General features: G+C 38.3%; 1 protein-coding gene across 3 annotated transcripts in view; it reads right to left on the minus strand.

The window, feature by feature from the left end:
• ASXL2 (ASXL transcriptional regulator 2) overlaps positions 1-15,966 on the minus strand; it is a 144,735-nt gene that overhangs the window by 12,703 nt on the left and 116,066 nt on the right. For all 3 annotated transcript variants that reach the window (NM_018263.6, NM_001369346.1, NM_001369347.1), the window contains 4 exons: positions 13,027-13,190; positions 9,563-9,659; positions 7,079-7,184; positions 3,241-3,958 (listed from right to left, as the gene is read on the minus strand). In NM_018263.6, coding sequence (NP_060733.4) covers positions 3,241-3,958; positions 7,079-7,184; positions 9,563-9,659; positions 13,027-13,190 — 1,085 coding nt within the window. The remainder of the gene's footprint in view (positions 1-3,240; positions 3,959-7,078; positions 7,185-9,562; positions 9,660-13,026; positions 13,191-15,966) is intronic.

Genomic DNA, 15,966 nt, shown 5'->3' on the forward strand with positions numbered 1-15,966 from the left:
GTTATTGTCCCTTATTTATATCATATGAAAGAAACTGCAGGGGAAAAAATGAAAAAAAAAAAAAAGATAAAACTAAAAAAGTAAATACAAGAAAGGTGTTTAGGGGAATTTATATAGGGACAAACAACTTTACATAAGAATACTCGTGAGAGTAACTCTATACCTAACATAATACATCATATCTATCATAATAACACAATCATTAATAACATGTTGAAATCAAATAAGAACAACCATTATAAGTGGTTAAAATGAAAGGTTTCGATACCTAAAAATAAGTTTCAGTTACTTACGTAAATAGCCCTATTACCTGATTATGCAAAATAAATCATATTTCTTTTTAAGTACAAAACCAAAGCTGTCCAGGCATTGATAACAATTTAATTTACTGAGAAGCCCTACCCCGGGAGAGCAGAGAGATTCAATCCTTTTCTTTTTAAGTGTACAGTCATCCCTTGGTATCCATGGGGGATTGGTTCTAGGACCCCAGAGGATATCAAAATCTGAGGATGCTCAAGTCCTTTATATAAAATGGCGTAGTATTTGCAGATAACCTCCACATATCTTCCCATATATTTTAAGTCATCTCTAGATTATTTATAACACCTAACATAATGTAAATGCTATATAAATTGTTATACTGTATTTTTACATTTGTATTTAATTTTCTTTTCCAAATATTGCGATAGGTGGTTGGTTGAAAATACTGCATTAACCTTGAGGATGTGGAACTTGCTGATACAGAGGGCTGACTGTATAGGGAATGTAAAACATATAATGTGCATGTGTGTATATATAGTTTTTATATACATTTGTATATATATAAAAGTTGTAACTAAGTTATAACATTTATACTACATTGTGAATTTTGTTTTCTACTACTACATTGTGAATTTTGTTTTCTACTTAAATTTTGTTTAAAAGGTTTTGTTCTGTTATAAATTACATTAAACTTTGTCTAAGAAAGCAGTATTTGAGATAGGGTCTAAGAGAAGAGAGTTACTAAAGACACTTCTGGAGAAGTCTTTTTTGAGGGAGATGAGGGAGAAGAAAGGAAAAGAACTGAAAAAAGTAAAATTATATTAACTTGGTCACAGTGGATTAAAGTTTCTGTGTAATCCCTTTGGACTAGCAGAAAGCAGACAGAATATGATGTAACCCAGCCTGTTTACAGGTGAGAAAATAGAAATGATGGGTCTTAGCAACATTTATAGCAAAACCTAAACAGTTACTCAGCTCTCAGGTCTGGAGATAAGCTGTGAATGACATTGAAGAAAAGTTTCTAATATTTTTATAAGAAAGAATAGTAAAAGTGATTATAATAAAAATCAGAATCTCTGGCGATGCATGTTAATGGTAGAAAAAAAAATAAGAAAAAACCCCCATAGATTCGTAAGTGCTAAAATCACCAATTTTAAAGAGCAATGAATTGGCCAGGCGTGGTGGCTCACACCTATAACCCTAGCACTTTGGGAGGCCGAGGCAGGTGGATCTTGAAGTCAGGAGTTCAAGACCAGCCTGGCCAACACGGTGAGACCCCTTTACAAATAATTATTTGTAAACATACAAAAATTAGCCAGGCGTCGTGGCTTAATGCCTATAATCCTAGCTACTTGGGAGGCTGAGACAGGAGAATCCCTTGAATCCGGGAGGTGGAGGCTGCAGTGAGCCAAGATTGCATCACTGCATTCCAGCCTGGACGACAGTGCAAGACTCCATCTTGGGGGGCAAAAAACAAGCAATGAATAAAAAAGTAATAGGAAGTACAGACGGTGGCCCACGCCTGTAATCCCAGCACTTTGGGAGGCAGAGGAGGGCAGATGACTTGAGGTCAGGAGTTTGGGACCAGCCTGGCCAACATGGTGAAACCCCATCTCTACTAAAAAATAAAATTACAAAAATTAGCCAGGTATGGTGGTGCATGCCTGTAATCCCAGCTACTCAGGAGGCTGAGGCAGGAGAATCGCTTGAACCTGGGAGGTGGAGACTGCAGTGAGCCAAGATTGTGCCACTGCACTCCAGCCTGGACAACAGAACGAGACTCCGTTAAAAAAAAAAAAAATACAATGAGAATGGGTCAAGTTCTGGTAAGTGAATCTTTCCAAGGAATACTTCCTGACAGAACTAATTTTGGTTCACCTCAGTTAAATAAAAAGGGGGAAAAAGTACTTTTACTAGTCTTATTTTTCCATTTATATCCTAATGAGTAATATTCAGTGCGTTGCCTCTTAAATTCCTTGGTAAGAAAAATAAACACTATTTATTAAATGAATGAACTGCAAGCTGATATTAAGCACAAGCCCAAGTATTAATAAACCTTTAAGATCAGAAGTAAAAATGTGTTTGGGTTTTAAAAGGCATTGTATATTAAGACAGTCAAAGATACTACCTAGAAGAATTTGAAAGATTTGACATGCAGCAATACAAGGCTAACTGGAAGTTAATCACATGCTAAGCAGCAGAGCTTACCAAGACTATTCCATGTTACTAGTGTCCCTCAAGTAACCAGTAGTGACAGAAGACAGCTACACATATTTCCTTTAATAGGAGGGAGCTAAAGGTAGTTCCTGATTCACAGAACATCAAGTCAGTTATGGTAGCAAGAAAAGGGTAAACTCAAATACCATGGCTCTTGGTACAAAGATAGGATCCTTTGATTACACCAATAGTCTCCTCATGCTTAGTCTCACATTTCTTATTTTGTCAATAATTTTCATGATGGTCTGGAAGCATGCATTACAGACTACCTGTAGGGGAACCGAAGGAAGCCCAAGACTCTTCCACCCTGGGATTGTGATCAACTCTTCTCTGCAATATCTGCGTGAACCCTGGCCCAAAAAATCTAAGAGGTCCTGAGGAGACAGTAGGACAGTTGGCTGTCAATGTTCTACAGAGGCTGAGAATTATAACTAAGTTTTTGGAAGTCCATTTAAATTATATTTGGTCTAAGAGTCTGAGATCAGGTGCCTCTGAGCTCAAGTAGTGAGCACAGGGGTGGTTTACATTAGATGCCCAGGTACCTTCCTTATGCAAACATCAGTAAAGACCTGTATGTAGGACTGCAGTTCTAAATGCCCATCTATCATTTTATTTGTGTAAGACCATAGTTACATATTTATCAAATATATCCAACTGCTTCTGCATTAAGAACTACCACAATTTACTTGAAATTTAGTAGGTATGACCAAAAACATAGGGTTCAGACGATCTCTGCTTTTCTAATTCTCTCCATTCTCTTACCTTGAGAGGTGGTACTTTTCGCACCTGGATTCTGTCCCCTCTATTGAGAAAGGGCTGTGGTGAGACCTGAAATGGCTGCTGGTGCTGGCGATTCTCAGTGACACGTGGCCTCTTCTCCCAGCTCACAGGGGCCTCTTCTTGGGTGAGGGAAGACTTCCTCTTGAGGCTTTCTGGGCTCTGATCAACAAGAGTTGCTAGAGGTTCTTTCATATTAGTCTCCTGTGGACCCGCTCCTGCTGTGGGCTTCACTATTGGTTTTTCAACCCCAGGACTCTTGGGTTTGCTTGGCGATGTAACTAAAGATTCTTGGCTTTCACTTTTGTTATAATTAGAAGCTGTGGTGAGATGGTTCTTCTCAGATTCCTGTTCAGCAGAGGTGACTGGCTTCTGCTCCAAGAGATCCTCATCCTTTGGGCACTTGATGGGAAGAATGCTGCTAAGCTCATGTGTATTGAGAGCTGAGGAAAGCAGGGGCTCTGAAGATGTGGAGAAGTTCGGCTGCACTTCACCTTGGCTTTCACACTCTTCTTTTCTGCCTGGTGATGACATTTGCAATGCTTCTTCTTTACACTCTGACTGGGAGACTACTGGAACTATTCTGATAAGAGAGGCCTCTGACACAGGCATGGATTTTGGTTGTTCAGCTGGGGTTTTCTTTACTTTGGGATCACTGGGAGAAGCTGTCAATTTCTTAGAATCTTCAAGGCTCAGGCCAGAACTAAAAAGGGGAAAAAAGAAATATTCCAGTTGAAAAATAGCCCATGTTGCGAAAGCATTCATTAATAGAGATAATGGAAGATGACAATGCCTAGGAGAACCCCTGACACAGCAGGTATTCATGTATTATCTTCACTATTAGTAGTAGTGAAAGTTCTGGAGTCAGAGTGCCTGGATTCAAATTCTGGCTCTGATACCTACCGTCCGTGTGATATTAAGTAAATGACTAGCCTTCTTTACTTCAGTTTCTTCAATTGTACACTAGGTTTAATTACTTCATAGTGTTGCTATGATAATTAAGTTAATCCATATAAAGTACTTGCCTAACACATAATGAAAGTTCAGTAATAGTAGTTATTATTACTTCTGCTTATAGAGGGGCCACATTGTCTGGACGCATGCATCACAGACTACCTGCAAGGGAACTGAAGGAAGCCCAAGACCCTTCCACCCTGTGATTGTGGTCAACTCTTCTCTGCAATATCTGTGCAAACCCAGGCCCAAAAAATCTAAGAGGACCTGAGGAGACAGCTGGCTGTCAATGTTCTATAGAGGCTGAGAATTATAGCTGAGTTTTGGAAAGCCCATTTAAATCCCACTTGGTTTAGCTCTAAAATTCTGAGATCGAGTGTCTCTAAGCTATTCTGAGGGTATAGTTCCATTGAGATATCCATAATGTGGCTTGGCTAAAAGCTAGGCTAATCTGTAAAGGTCATTAGTGACTCTTCTTAATGTTTTAGAATACTGTACAACATGTAAAATCAATGAGCCTTCTTTGGTGACTTCAAAGAGTCAGTACTGTGCTTCTGAGATGGAATGGTTAGGGACAAAACTGGGCAATAATCAAAAACAGTCTTTCTATAAAAGCTGACAAAAAGTAATAGTTGAAAATAGAAAGACCCACGAACTGTTGTAATCCTCTATCTGCTTAAGAAGGAGGGAATGGGCCAGGCACAGTGGCTCATGCCTGTAATCCCAGCACTTTGGGAGGTGGGCAGATCGCTTGAGCACAGGGGTTTGAAACCAGCCTGTGCAACAGGGCAAAACCCCACTCCTACAAAAAATACAATAATTAGCTGGGTGTGGTGGCATGCACCTGGAGTCCCAGCTACTCAGGAGGCTGAGGTGGAAGGACTGCCTAAGCCCGGGAGATTAAGGCTACAGTGAACCGTGATTGTGCCACTGCACTCCAGCCTGAGGGACAGAGTGGGACCCTGTCTTTGAAAAAAAAAAAAGAAAAAGAGAAAAAAAAGGAGGGAATGAACAAATATTTGTAGAATTACTGCTACCTGCAATAATGGTCTAAATGTACCAAACATCACTTCTATAGCTCAATGCTCATACCAAAAATATAGAAAAATCAGTTTATAGAACTCTTTTTTTTTTTGAGACAAGGTCTCACTTCGTCGCCCAGGCTGGAGTGCAATGGCGTAATCTTGGTCACTGCAACCTCCGCCTCCCAGGTTTAAACGATTCTTCCACCTGAGCCTGGGTCTACAGGTACGCACCACTACACCCAGCTAATTTTTTGGTATTTTTTTTAGAGATGTGGTTTTGCCATGTTGCCCAAGTTGGTCTCGAATTCCTGGGCTCAAGTGATCCGCCCACCTCAGCCTCCCAAAGCACTGAGATTACAGGTGTGAGCCACCGCAACTGGCCGCAGTTTATGGAACTCTTAATCTCAATAGGAATATTTCCTAAATGACTGTGAAGGAGATGGATAAATACTACTTGGAGACAAGGAAAAGGAGAACTTAGTTTTCAAGCTGTGGTTACGGGTCTTCTTAAGGGCTGCCATTGGTGTGCAGAAGGAAGGAAGGGAGACTAACAAGTAGGAGTCCAAGTGTTCAATCCTATTTCAAACAGAACATCTCCATTACCATCTATTTAAATGTCCCATTATAATTTCACTGTTGGATCTTTTGTTGGGGGGGAAAAACTGATTTAGGCTACAGCCTCTTTTAAACAGAATTTATATCTTGATTCAGCTATGTACATCTCCCAGAGTGCCTTTTACAGAGGAGAGGCTCTTTAATTACAGGTTGGTTCTAATAGTCCACATTACAAAATTCCTAAGATTCCTTAGTGATTCTGGATAGCTACATTTTGGGATAATTAACTACTATAAAAAGTGGACAGAACCTCAGTATTCTGGCTCGGAGTGGTGGCTCATACCTGTAATCCCAGCACTTTGGGAGGCCGAGGAGGGCAGATCACCTGAAGTCAGGAGTTCGAGACCAGCCTGGCCAACATGGTGAAACCCCAACTCCACTAAAAATACAAAATTTGCCAGGTGTGGTGGTACACGCCTGTAATCCCAGCTACTCAGGAGGCTGAGGCAGAATTGCTTGAAACCAGAAGGCACAGGTTGCAGTGAGTCTGAGATTGCGCCACTGTACTCCAGCCTGGGCGACAAGAGTGAAACTCTGTCTCAAAAAAAGAAAAAAAAAAAAAAGAACTAAAGAACTTCAATATTCTTCTATCTTATAAAGTAACCAGAAGAAAAACCAATCTTTTCAAAGAAAGGGACTCTTAATTCAAAGTTTTTTTAGAAATGTATTTTTTTTTTTTTGAGATGGAATTTTGCTCTTTTTGCCCAGGCTGGAGTGCAATGGCACCATCTTGGCTCACCACAACCTCTGCCTCACAGGTTCAAGCGATTCTCCTGCCTCAGCCTCCCAAGTAGCTGGGATCACAGGCATGCACCACCACGCCCAACTAATTTTGTATTTTTTTAAGTAGAGACGGGGTTTCACCATGTTGGTCAGGCTGGTCTCGAACTCCTGACCTCAGGAGTTCGCCTCGGCCTCCCAAAGTGCTGGGGTTATAGTGTGAGCCACTGCGCCCAGCTAAAAAATTTGTTTTTAAAGAAGCCATTTCACCTACAATGACAGTTTTAAGGGTAAAGTATGATGAGTAATCTAATTCTGTGAACCCGTGATTCATAATAAGAAAAAAACTTCTTCCTAAAGAAGAATCAGTGAGACAAAAAAAAAAACAAAATAAAACAAAACAGAAGGAAACTGGGGCCTAGATTTTCTGAGAAGGTAATGAGATAAAGCACTACATGACTTATATGTAGGAATTAACATTTGGTTTATAGAACCTGTCCTAATATTACCTCTGCCCATAGTAGCTTTCAAAGAATTGTTCTTTCCATGGCTCCACTTTTTTCTCCTTCTCAATCTCTTGTCGAATTCTCACCTGCATCTCAGGTGTAAACTCACCTGCAATGTACCCAAAAAAGGATATTCAATAGAAAAATGCTATTTGCAACATGTAACTATTTATAAATCATGAAAGACTCACGCAGGAATTGGAATACTACCATGTGAAAGTAACAGAAACTCCTCAAACCTCCTCACTGTAAAGGAGGACCTAAATGCCATTAGGTGAAATAAAAATATGTTTGCACACCACTCCAGGTAGCTTTCAGTACTCAGCTGAGGCTGACAAAGCCTTTTCGCTGGGCTTCCCTGTGGTACCTTCCTCACGCTCCAAGCATCACACTCCATACAGATTTATTTTATCTCTTACCTAGAACTTCCAATTTATTTTCCACTAAAAGAAAAAGTGATGTGCTTTCAATAAACTATGCCACTGGGCATTTTTACTATTTTAAAGATCAGTTTCTCCAAGGCAAGTTAATTTTAGGCTTTTTACCTCTAACTGCATAAAGAAAAGCTATGGCCCTAGCATTCGAGATTCCAGTAAAAAGGTAGGGAGTTATTCTGGAGTTGTCAGTTTTCTAATTGTTCCACAAATTGTACCAGGCTAATGCTCTAGCAAGAAGATACTCAACATGCCAAAGACCCAGCTGCTCTGAATATGCCATTTATTTGCATATACTACCAACCACCTCAATCCTTCCCACTCCATCAGCAGAGAACAGTGAATGTGCTTGGTAGGCCATCTTCAAACTTGTGGCTCAGATAGACTGCTCTCTTTTATACTCTAATACCCAGGACATCAAGGAATAAGAGGTAGAAATGGCAGAATTTGAAGTTTAAGACCTCCTGGGGGTGAGAAGAAGGAGAGGAAAAGTGTTAGAGGACCGTGGACATCACAGTCGTGGGCAAAGGATTGGGAAAAGAGAGATTTGGCTGTCAGAATCCAACCCAGAACTCCTGCTATTGAGTCTACTGTGTATCTGAAAATGAGGAATAAAATGTACTGGACTCTGTTCACATATATACAGTGTTCCAAGTTGTTGTTCATAAAATATGATCACATGACTATAGGTACAGCAGTCACTTGCTTGCATGTTAAAAAAAAAAGTAACACTGATAATAATAATCGCAGTATCATTGCTGACAGTACCTAGTTACAAAAAAGTGGGGGCTGAGGAAGTAAATCCTTTACCAATTTATTCTTAAAGAAAGGTACCGGTAGAACTGGTATGTTTTAATCTTTCTGAGAAAAAAAAAAAGGGGTCTCTGCCCAAAAATATCTGTAGGAAAGAGAAAGGACAAAGTAATCAGAGCAAGAGATCCCTTCTACATAGAATTTCTTCTAAAAGAAGAGGATGGGAAAAGTCAACAATTTCAAGAAACAATCTAGATTATATATTAGCTGTTCACTTTAACTGGTAGGGATCTGACAGAAAATAAACAATGAAGAGCATTCCTAATGCGTTCCTTACAAATGTATATATTTTAAAGTCTCTCATACTTGTTTTAGGCTATTCTTTGGTATACGACTTTTCAAGTGCTATTTTTTATTCCATGTATACTGAAAAACAGATGTAATAAAAATAATTCAGCCAGTGGTTTTACTTATGTCTGCATATTAGAATCGTTTGGGAAAACTTTGAAACAAACAAACAAAACCAATAAAGCTCTGACACTAACCCAGAGCAATAAAAACAAAATCATTGACACTGGTGTTTGCACATCAGTATTTTTAAAAACACCACAGGTGTTTTTCAGCTGTAGAGGTGAAGAACTGCTAGTACTGACAGATACTATATGCAGTGCCCACACACAATCAGTCACTAGAAGCATGGCACACATGGCAGACCAGTGATCACAGTCAGTAATTCTTGGTCATGATCCATACTTACTACAATGTTCTGACTGCCAATTAACTGTCCATTTCAAATGGCTGAATTTTATATTATATGAAATATACCTTAATGAAGTGATCTTTTAAAAAGCTCTCACTGATTGCTTTTACTGTTAGTTTTATTGAGGCTAGGCAGTAATAAACAGATTATCTCACTGCTTACCAAACTGGGATGCAGAGCACCATAAAGTGACTAATTCTATACTTTTATTAGGGAGCCTAATACAATTTCAATTCCTAGGCATTAATGTAGAATTGCTGAATCAGAATCTTTAGGAGCAGGGCCCAAAAATCTGTATTTTTTAATTTCTTGGAAGCTTTATATCATTAAAGAAACATATTGCTAGATTCCATGTGGTGTTAACCTGGTAACATAGGCTCTAGATAAAAGTTTAACAACGTGTTCCACACATGATGGTTAATTCTATCCTATGGAAACATCCTGTCCTTTACCTTCCAAAACTGCGTAATTACCTGATGAGGAAGAGAGGTGCTCTGAGTGCACACACCACCTGGGAGACACATTAAGTAGAGCACTTACCTTCTGAGAGTCTTTCCTTCCAGCCTTGGGCTGCTGAAGTGAAGAATTCATTGTTAAGGGCTGAGCCATTTAACTTCATTAAACCATCTGGACCAACCTGGGTCAAAGAATAAGCCAAGGAAAGCTTACAAAGAAAGTGAAAGGTATCACGTCGTATTTGACCTTCCTTTCATTTTATAAAAGAATGTATATATATTTATTTTAATAGAAATATAACTATCTCATACTATGTGCTTATCCAACTCTGTTATTTAATGTAATATCACTTTGTTCTAAAACATTGCTTTCCTGTTTACCTCTCCTCACTCCTTTCTCTCCATTCACATCCATTCCCTAATAATTAAAAATCTACTCACAGAACCACACATATAGTGCTGGAACAACTGGCTATCCACCCAGTAGAAAATAAAGCTGAATCCCAGATTCAGATAATGACAAAAAAAAAAAGAAAAAAAAAAGAAAAAAAAAAAAGAAGGATGGACTAAAAATCTAAATGTAAATTTTAAGTCAAAAACAGTTTTTTGAAGAAAATTAAGAAAATGATTTGGACATCCTTGAGATTGAGGAACTCTTCTTAACCCACTTTACTTTCCAAACGTATGTGGGTTGACATCATTTCCCCCTGGCTCTACAGCAGAAATTGGTAAACCTTCTGTAAAGGGCTAGACCACAAATACTTTAACTTTGCAGGCCATATGGCTTGATTTCAGCTACTCAACTCTGCCACTGTAGCACAAAAGTAGTTACGGACAATACGAAAACTAACAGGAGTGGCTTTAAGTCAACAAAACTTTATTAATTAGGCAGTCAGCTGGAAATTGCCTAGTGGGCTGTAGTTTGCTGACTGCTGATTCATACTCTAGAGAACTGGTACGAGGGTAATAGTGTTCTATATAAGAGCAGTTTATCCAGTCTCTACTTGAGTATTACAGTGATAAGCAAGTTACTCCACTATAAGCCAATCTATTCTGCAGTTTAATCCTCCAACTGTGAAAAAGCTTTTTTAACCCCAAATCTGCTTTCTGTATAACAAAGTATACCTCTTCCATATCATGGGCCTTCTAATATATTGAAGGAGAGGGTTTTGATCCAAACCTATGTTTTTCTCTGGTCTAAATATTTTTCTACTCATTGCTGGATACTCCACACAGTCAAGTATGGCTTCCAACTTTTCATTCTTTAAACACTCTAAATTTCATCTGACAGTAGTTTGTATTCCACTTAATCGAAATTCTATATTCTCTACACATAAGGACAATGTTACTCAGATTACTGTGGGCTCCAACCATGTTAACAACTGGAAAAGACTAGCCAAGTAACCTCCTATTAAGAATACCCTGGCTGGGCGCGGTGGCTCACATCTGTAATCCCAGCACTTTGGGAGGCCGAGGCAGGTGGATCACGAGGTCAGGAGATCGAAAGCACCCTGGCTAACATGGTGAAACCCCGTCTCTACTAAAAAAAAAAAAAAAAGAAAGAAAAAGAAAACACACACACACACACAAAAACTAGCCGGGCATGGTGGCACACGCCTGTAATCCCAGCCACTCAGGAGGCTGAGGCAGGAGAATTCCTTGAACCCAGGAGGCGGAGGTTGCAGTGAGCCGAGATCGAGCCAATGCACTCCAGCTCAGGCGACAGAGGGAGACTCCATCTCAAAAAAAAAAAAAAAAAAAAAAAAAAAGAATACCCCCCAGGATTGCACTCTATGGGAAAATGAACTAGATAACCTCTAAGATCCCTTTTAATTCTAAAATTGTATGTGGCAATCCTCCAGATTTAGAACTTGATAAAGAACATTAGTCAAAAGATAGTTCTGAGGAACCAGCATTAGAATTCCATAAACAGGCCCTCAGTTACATCCTGTACTAGTATTCCCAGCCTAACAACCCTGAGTCTTTAACAAAAAAAAAAAAAAAAAAAAGATGAGAGCAATCTCCAAGAGGTTCTCTTAAAACTGCTGAAACTTCAGTCTCCTAACTTGTTCTAACCAAGAACTGGCATCCTCAAAGCTATAATTTCTCCAAGAGTTATGTAGGGAGAGCAGTTACCAAGAAGGACCGGTTTTACTTCTTTGTCCCCACTGCTGTAAGAATACCTCATTTATTTGGGCTCTCTGGACAATGGACTCTGAACTCCTTTGACATGTTCTGATTCACAACACTATGAAACTGATATCAATGCAGTCTAGTAGAAAGATTATTTTCAGAATTAGAAAGATTTAGTTTTATTTCAGTAAGTCAATTAGCTAATAATGAATTCTGTAGCTTACTCATTCTCTGTTATCCTCTTACTACGAACAAGAGAGTATAACCAGTTCTTTTACTGTGTAAACTAAGGAAAACATCTCCCTCTCATCATTTTAATAAACATTCTTAAAAGTTGGGGGTTGGGGAGACCTATCACATTACTTAGAACACAGCTGAGATTTTTAAAAATCTCAGAAGTGAAGAAAGCTTAAAAAATTGTAATTGTTCTATCTTCCTTTTACAGAGGGAGGAAACAGAAGATCAGAAGGGGGAGTGACTGGGTACACTGTTTTCCTTGATGAAAGCCAAAGTCTCAGACCTTTTCTTTATTCCTGACCAAGGTAAATCACTAAAGCTCTCTGGTCCCTGCCTTGACGCTTGCCAAACCTTTGGCATTTCTTTTTGCTACTTTTGTTTTTTTTTTTTTTTAAGTATAATTTACATTGGGTTTTAAGTTCTTTACTATGAAAGTAATAAATGTTTCTCTTAGCAAAATGTAACAAAAGAATGCAAACTGCAAACATTCCCAAGTCCACCACTGTTCATACCATGTTGTATTGTCTTTCCAGATCTATTTATTTATCTGGACCCATGTTTTTGGCTTATTCCTGACATTTCCCACTCCACTGAAGCACTGGCCCACATCCTGTTGATACTGGACCAAGACAACTCTTCCTCCTGAAGTTTATGTATTCTTTTTTTTTTTGAGATGGAGTTTCACTCTGTCACTCAGGCTGGCGTCCAGTGGCACTATCTTGGCTCACTGCAATCTCTGCCTCCCAGGTTCAAGCGATTCTCCTGGCTCAGCCTCCCGAGTAGCTGGGATTACAGGCGCCCACCACCACGCCTGGCTAATTTTTGTATTTTTAGTAGAGACAGGGTTTTGCCATGTTGGCCAGGCTGGTCTTGAACTCCTGACCTCAGGTGATCTGCCCTCCTTGGCTGCCCAAAGTGCTGGGATTACAGGTGTGAGCCACCATGTCTGGCTTCCTCCTCACCTTCATTCTATGGATGCTTACATCCTAATACAGTCAAAATAATTCTGTCATCTTGAAATTCTGGTAGGAGAATTTTTTTTTCCTAAGCCTTAAAAAAACCTGCCTATTAAGAAACTTATGTAAAAATATTCTTACTTCTCACTTAGTACCATTAATACCACTTTACAAGTATACATAAACAGCTATTTTTAAAATCTTAAGGAGTTCAATGACGCACCTGTCGATCTACCTCTGGGAGTAGTAAAAGCAGTCGTTGCTGGCAATCTCCAGGAAGGACTGAAAATGTGTGCTTGTTGATCAGTGCTCGCAGATTTGTATTAACCAGAATGGAGTCCGGTGTCTCAACGTCAATGTCAGCACATTTAGTTCTTTTCATTTGTCCTACAAAAACAGAGAAGAATCGTTTGGGCCTCCCTCACAAGTCCTGTTTCTATATAAACTGTAGCTTTCTGTGCAGTATAAAAAATCCACAATTGTAAGCATTTAAATATCACACTACGAAGAAGGTAACACTTAAGATCTTAGAATTTTCTTCTAAGACTAACAAAACAAGTTTTGTTCATTTATAGAGGATAAAAGAATACAATGTATCTACCTTCTCTGCATAAATAGAATAAAGTCTGTAAAAATGGGTCTTCTACCATACTAAAACTGCATTTTATGTTTGAGACTAGATTATTTCCCCCAAAAAACTGAGAAAGTTTATGATAAATGATATGAAGAATGTCTAAGAAAGAAAACCCAAATCTACAAATCATACTGACTTCCTTTGCCTCTTCTCATGACTTTTTTTTTCACTGATTTTAATTTACATTGGCTAAAAATATTATGATTTAATAGCCTAGCAGTTTCAGGAAATCTGTCCACAACCAGAAGGTTACAATCTTTCAAAAAACTGAGTACACAAAGGATTAAAATGTAAATAAAAATTTATATATATATAAAAGACCAACCTGGAAAAAATATTTGGAAGCCATGACAAAAGGTTGCTCTTCTTCATATGAAAACAGCAATTACACATCAATAAGAAAAAGACAAATACCACCAAGAGAAAAATGAGCAAAGGAAATTAAAAGGTAATTCAGTCCACTAACCTTAAGTAGATGCTAAAATATTAATATTTTTAAAAATGCAAATTAAACCACTGAACATATTTGTCTATGAAAATGGCAAAATATTGTAATATGGTAATGGGACTATGCAGGGGGAAAAAGCAAAAAGCACTTTCAAATGCTGCTGATGGGGCTGAATCAGCATAATCTTAGAAAATCTAACAATATCTAGCAAAATGTTAATATACATAAAACTACAGGATCCAGAAATTCTACATTTTGAATTGCTTTCACAAAGCTATACAATCTTTGATGTGGGTACACCCTCTGCCTCCTGGCGGAAGCATAAACAAAAAGAAAGGATTTCCCTCAAATTAATCCCACTGGATTCCTACAAATTAAAATCTGGCATTACTACTTCAGAAAGATTACCCAACAAATGAGAAGTTATGCCACTACAAGAGAGAATCATTAGAGACTAGAAATAACAGATGGAGACCTAGAAGTACTGAAGCTATCAGATATACAGAATACAGAATTGCTATGTACAAAATGTTTAAGGAAATAATGTAATTACAAAAATAAGGACAAAATAATTAGGAATTAATAGACTTAAGAAAATGGGACATCTAGAAATGTAGAATAAAAATTGATGAAATCGATTAAACAGTAGTTTCACAATATTAAAGAGGGTCTACACTATATAGCCAAACAATTTACCCTCAATTTACCCAATTTATACTCTCAGAATATGAGAGAGAAGACAAAATATTTTTAGAGGTTTAGCAAAAACATAAATGACAGAATGAGGGTCTAACAAATACCTGACTGAAGCTCAAGAATGAGAAAATGATGAGAATGGAAAAAAGGCAATATTCAAAGAACTGACAGTTGTACATTTGCAGCAACTGATGAAAACTACAAAACTAAAGCTCTAGAAGTGGAACGTATTCCAAAGAGGACAGAAAGAAATCCATGCATAGACCCAGCATAGTAAGAGTGTTTATCAAAGACAAAGAGAATAACTTGAAAGCATCCACGAGGAAGGGAACGATCACATAAAAAGGAATGAAAGAGGCTGGGCAAGGTGGCTCATGCCTGTAATCGCAGCACTCTGGGAGGCCGAGGCAGGCAGATCACAAGGTCAGGAGATCGAGACCATCCTGGCTAACACGGTGAAACATCGTCTCTACTAAAAATAGAAAAATCAGCCGGGCTTGGTGGTGCGCGCCTGTAATCCCAGCTACTCGGGAGGCTGAGGCAGGAGAATGGCGTGAACCCGGGAGGCGGAGCTTGCAGTGAGCCGAGATCGCACCACTGCACTCCAGCCTGGGCAACAGAGCCAGACTCCGTCTCAAAAAAAAAAAAAAAAAAAAGGAATTTAAGAACAGCAGTAAACTTCTTAAAATGAAATTTGGAATAAGGTAGATAATATCTGTAAAATGCTGACAGAAAATAACCACTAATCTATAAAGGCATGTCCACCAAACTATCCTTCAAAAATGAACAGGAAAGGACATTTATAAACAAAAACTGAAGGCGTTCACTACTCAGAAACCTGATATAAATACAGTTCTTATTGTACTTCAGGAAAGAAAATCATTGCAGAATGGGTTGAAATACAATACAGAAAGGTAAACATGTAGATAAATATATGTCCACATTATTTATATAAAATAATAGTATTCTAGTGTCTGATTTGTGAGGTTAAAAACAAAATACAAAAAAAAGACAATAATATTTATTTAAGTCTAGATAGAAAAGATTAGCACTGAATTGTTGTATTTCCACTGTTCTGGAGGAAAATCAAGATGGTTACTTTTAAGAATTAAAGACATATCACATGTAACTAAAAAATATATAGAAGTATGATATATCAATTTTTTAGAAGTGTGGTACCATTTAAGGAATCACTAACCACTAAAAGAGAAATTGAGTGCATACCAAACTCAGTAGAGAGAAAAAAAAGGCTACAAGAGAATTAATATGAACACACCAAAAAAAAAAAAAAAAAAATCAGTAAAGCCAAAAAACCTTTTCAGAAGTTTAAAAGAAGAGTAAGAAAGAGGCTGGGAGTCGTGGCCCATGCCTATAATCCCAGCACT

This window comes from Homo sapiens, chromosome 2 (genome assembly GCF_000001405.40).
Source record: "Homo sapiens chromosome 2, GRCh38.p14 Primary Assembly".
NCBI classification, from domain to species: domain Eukaryota; kingdom Metazoa; phylum Chordata; class Mammalia; order Primates; family Hominidae; genus Homo; species Homo sapiens.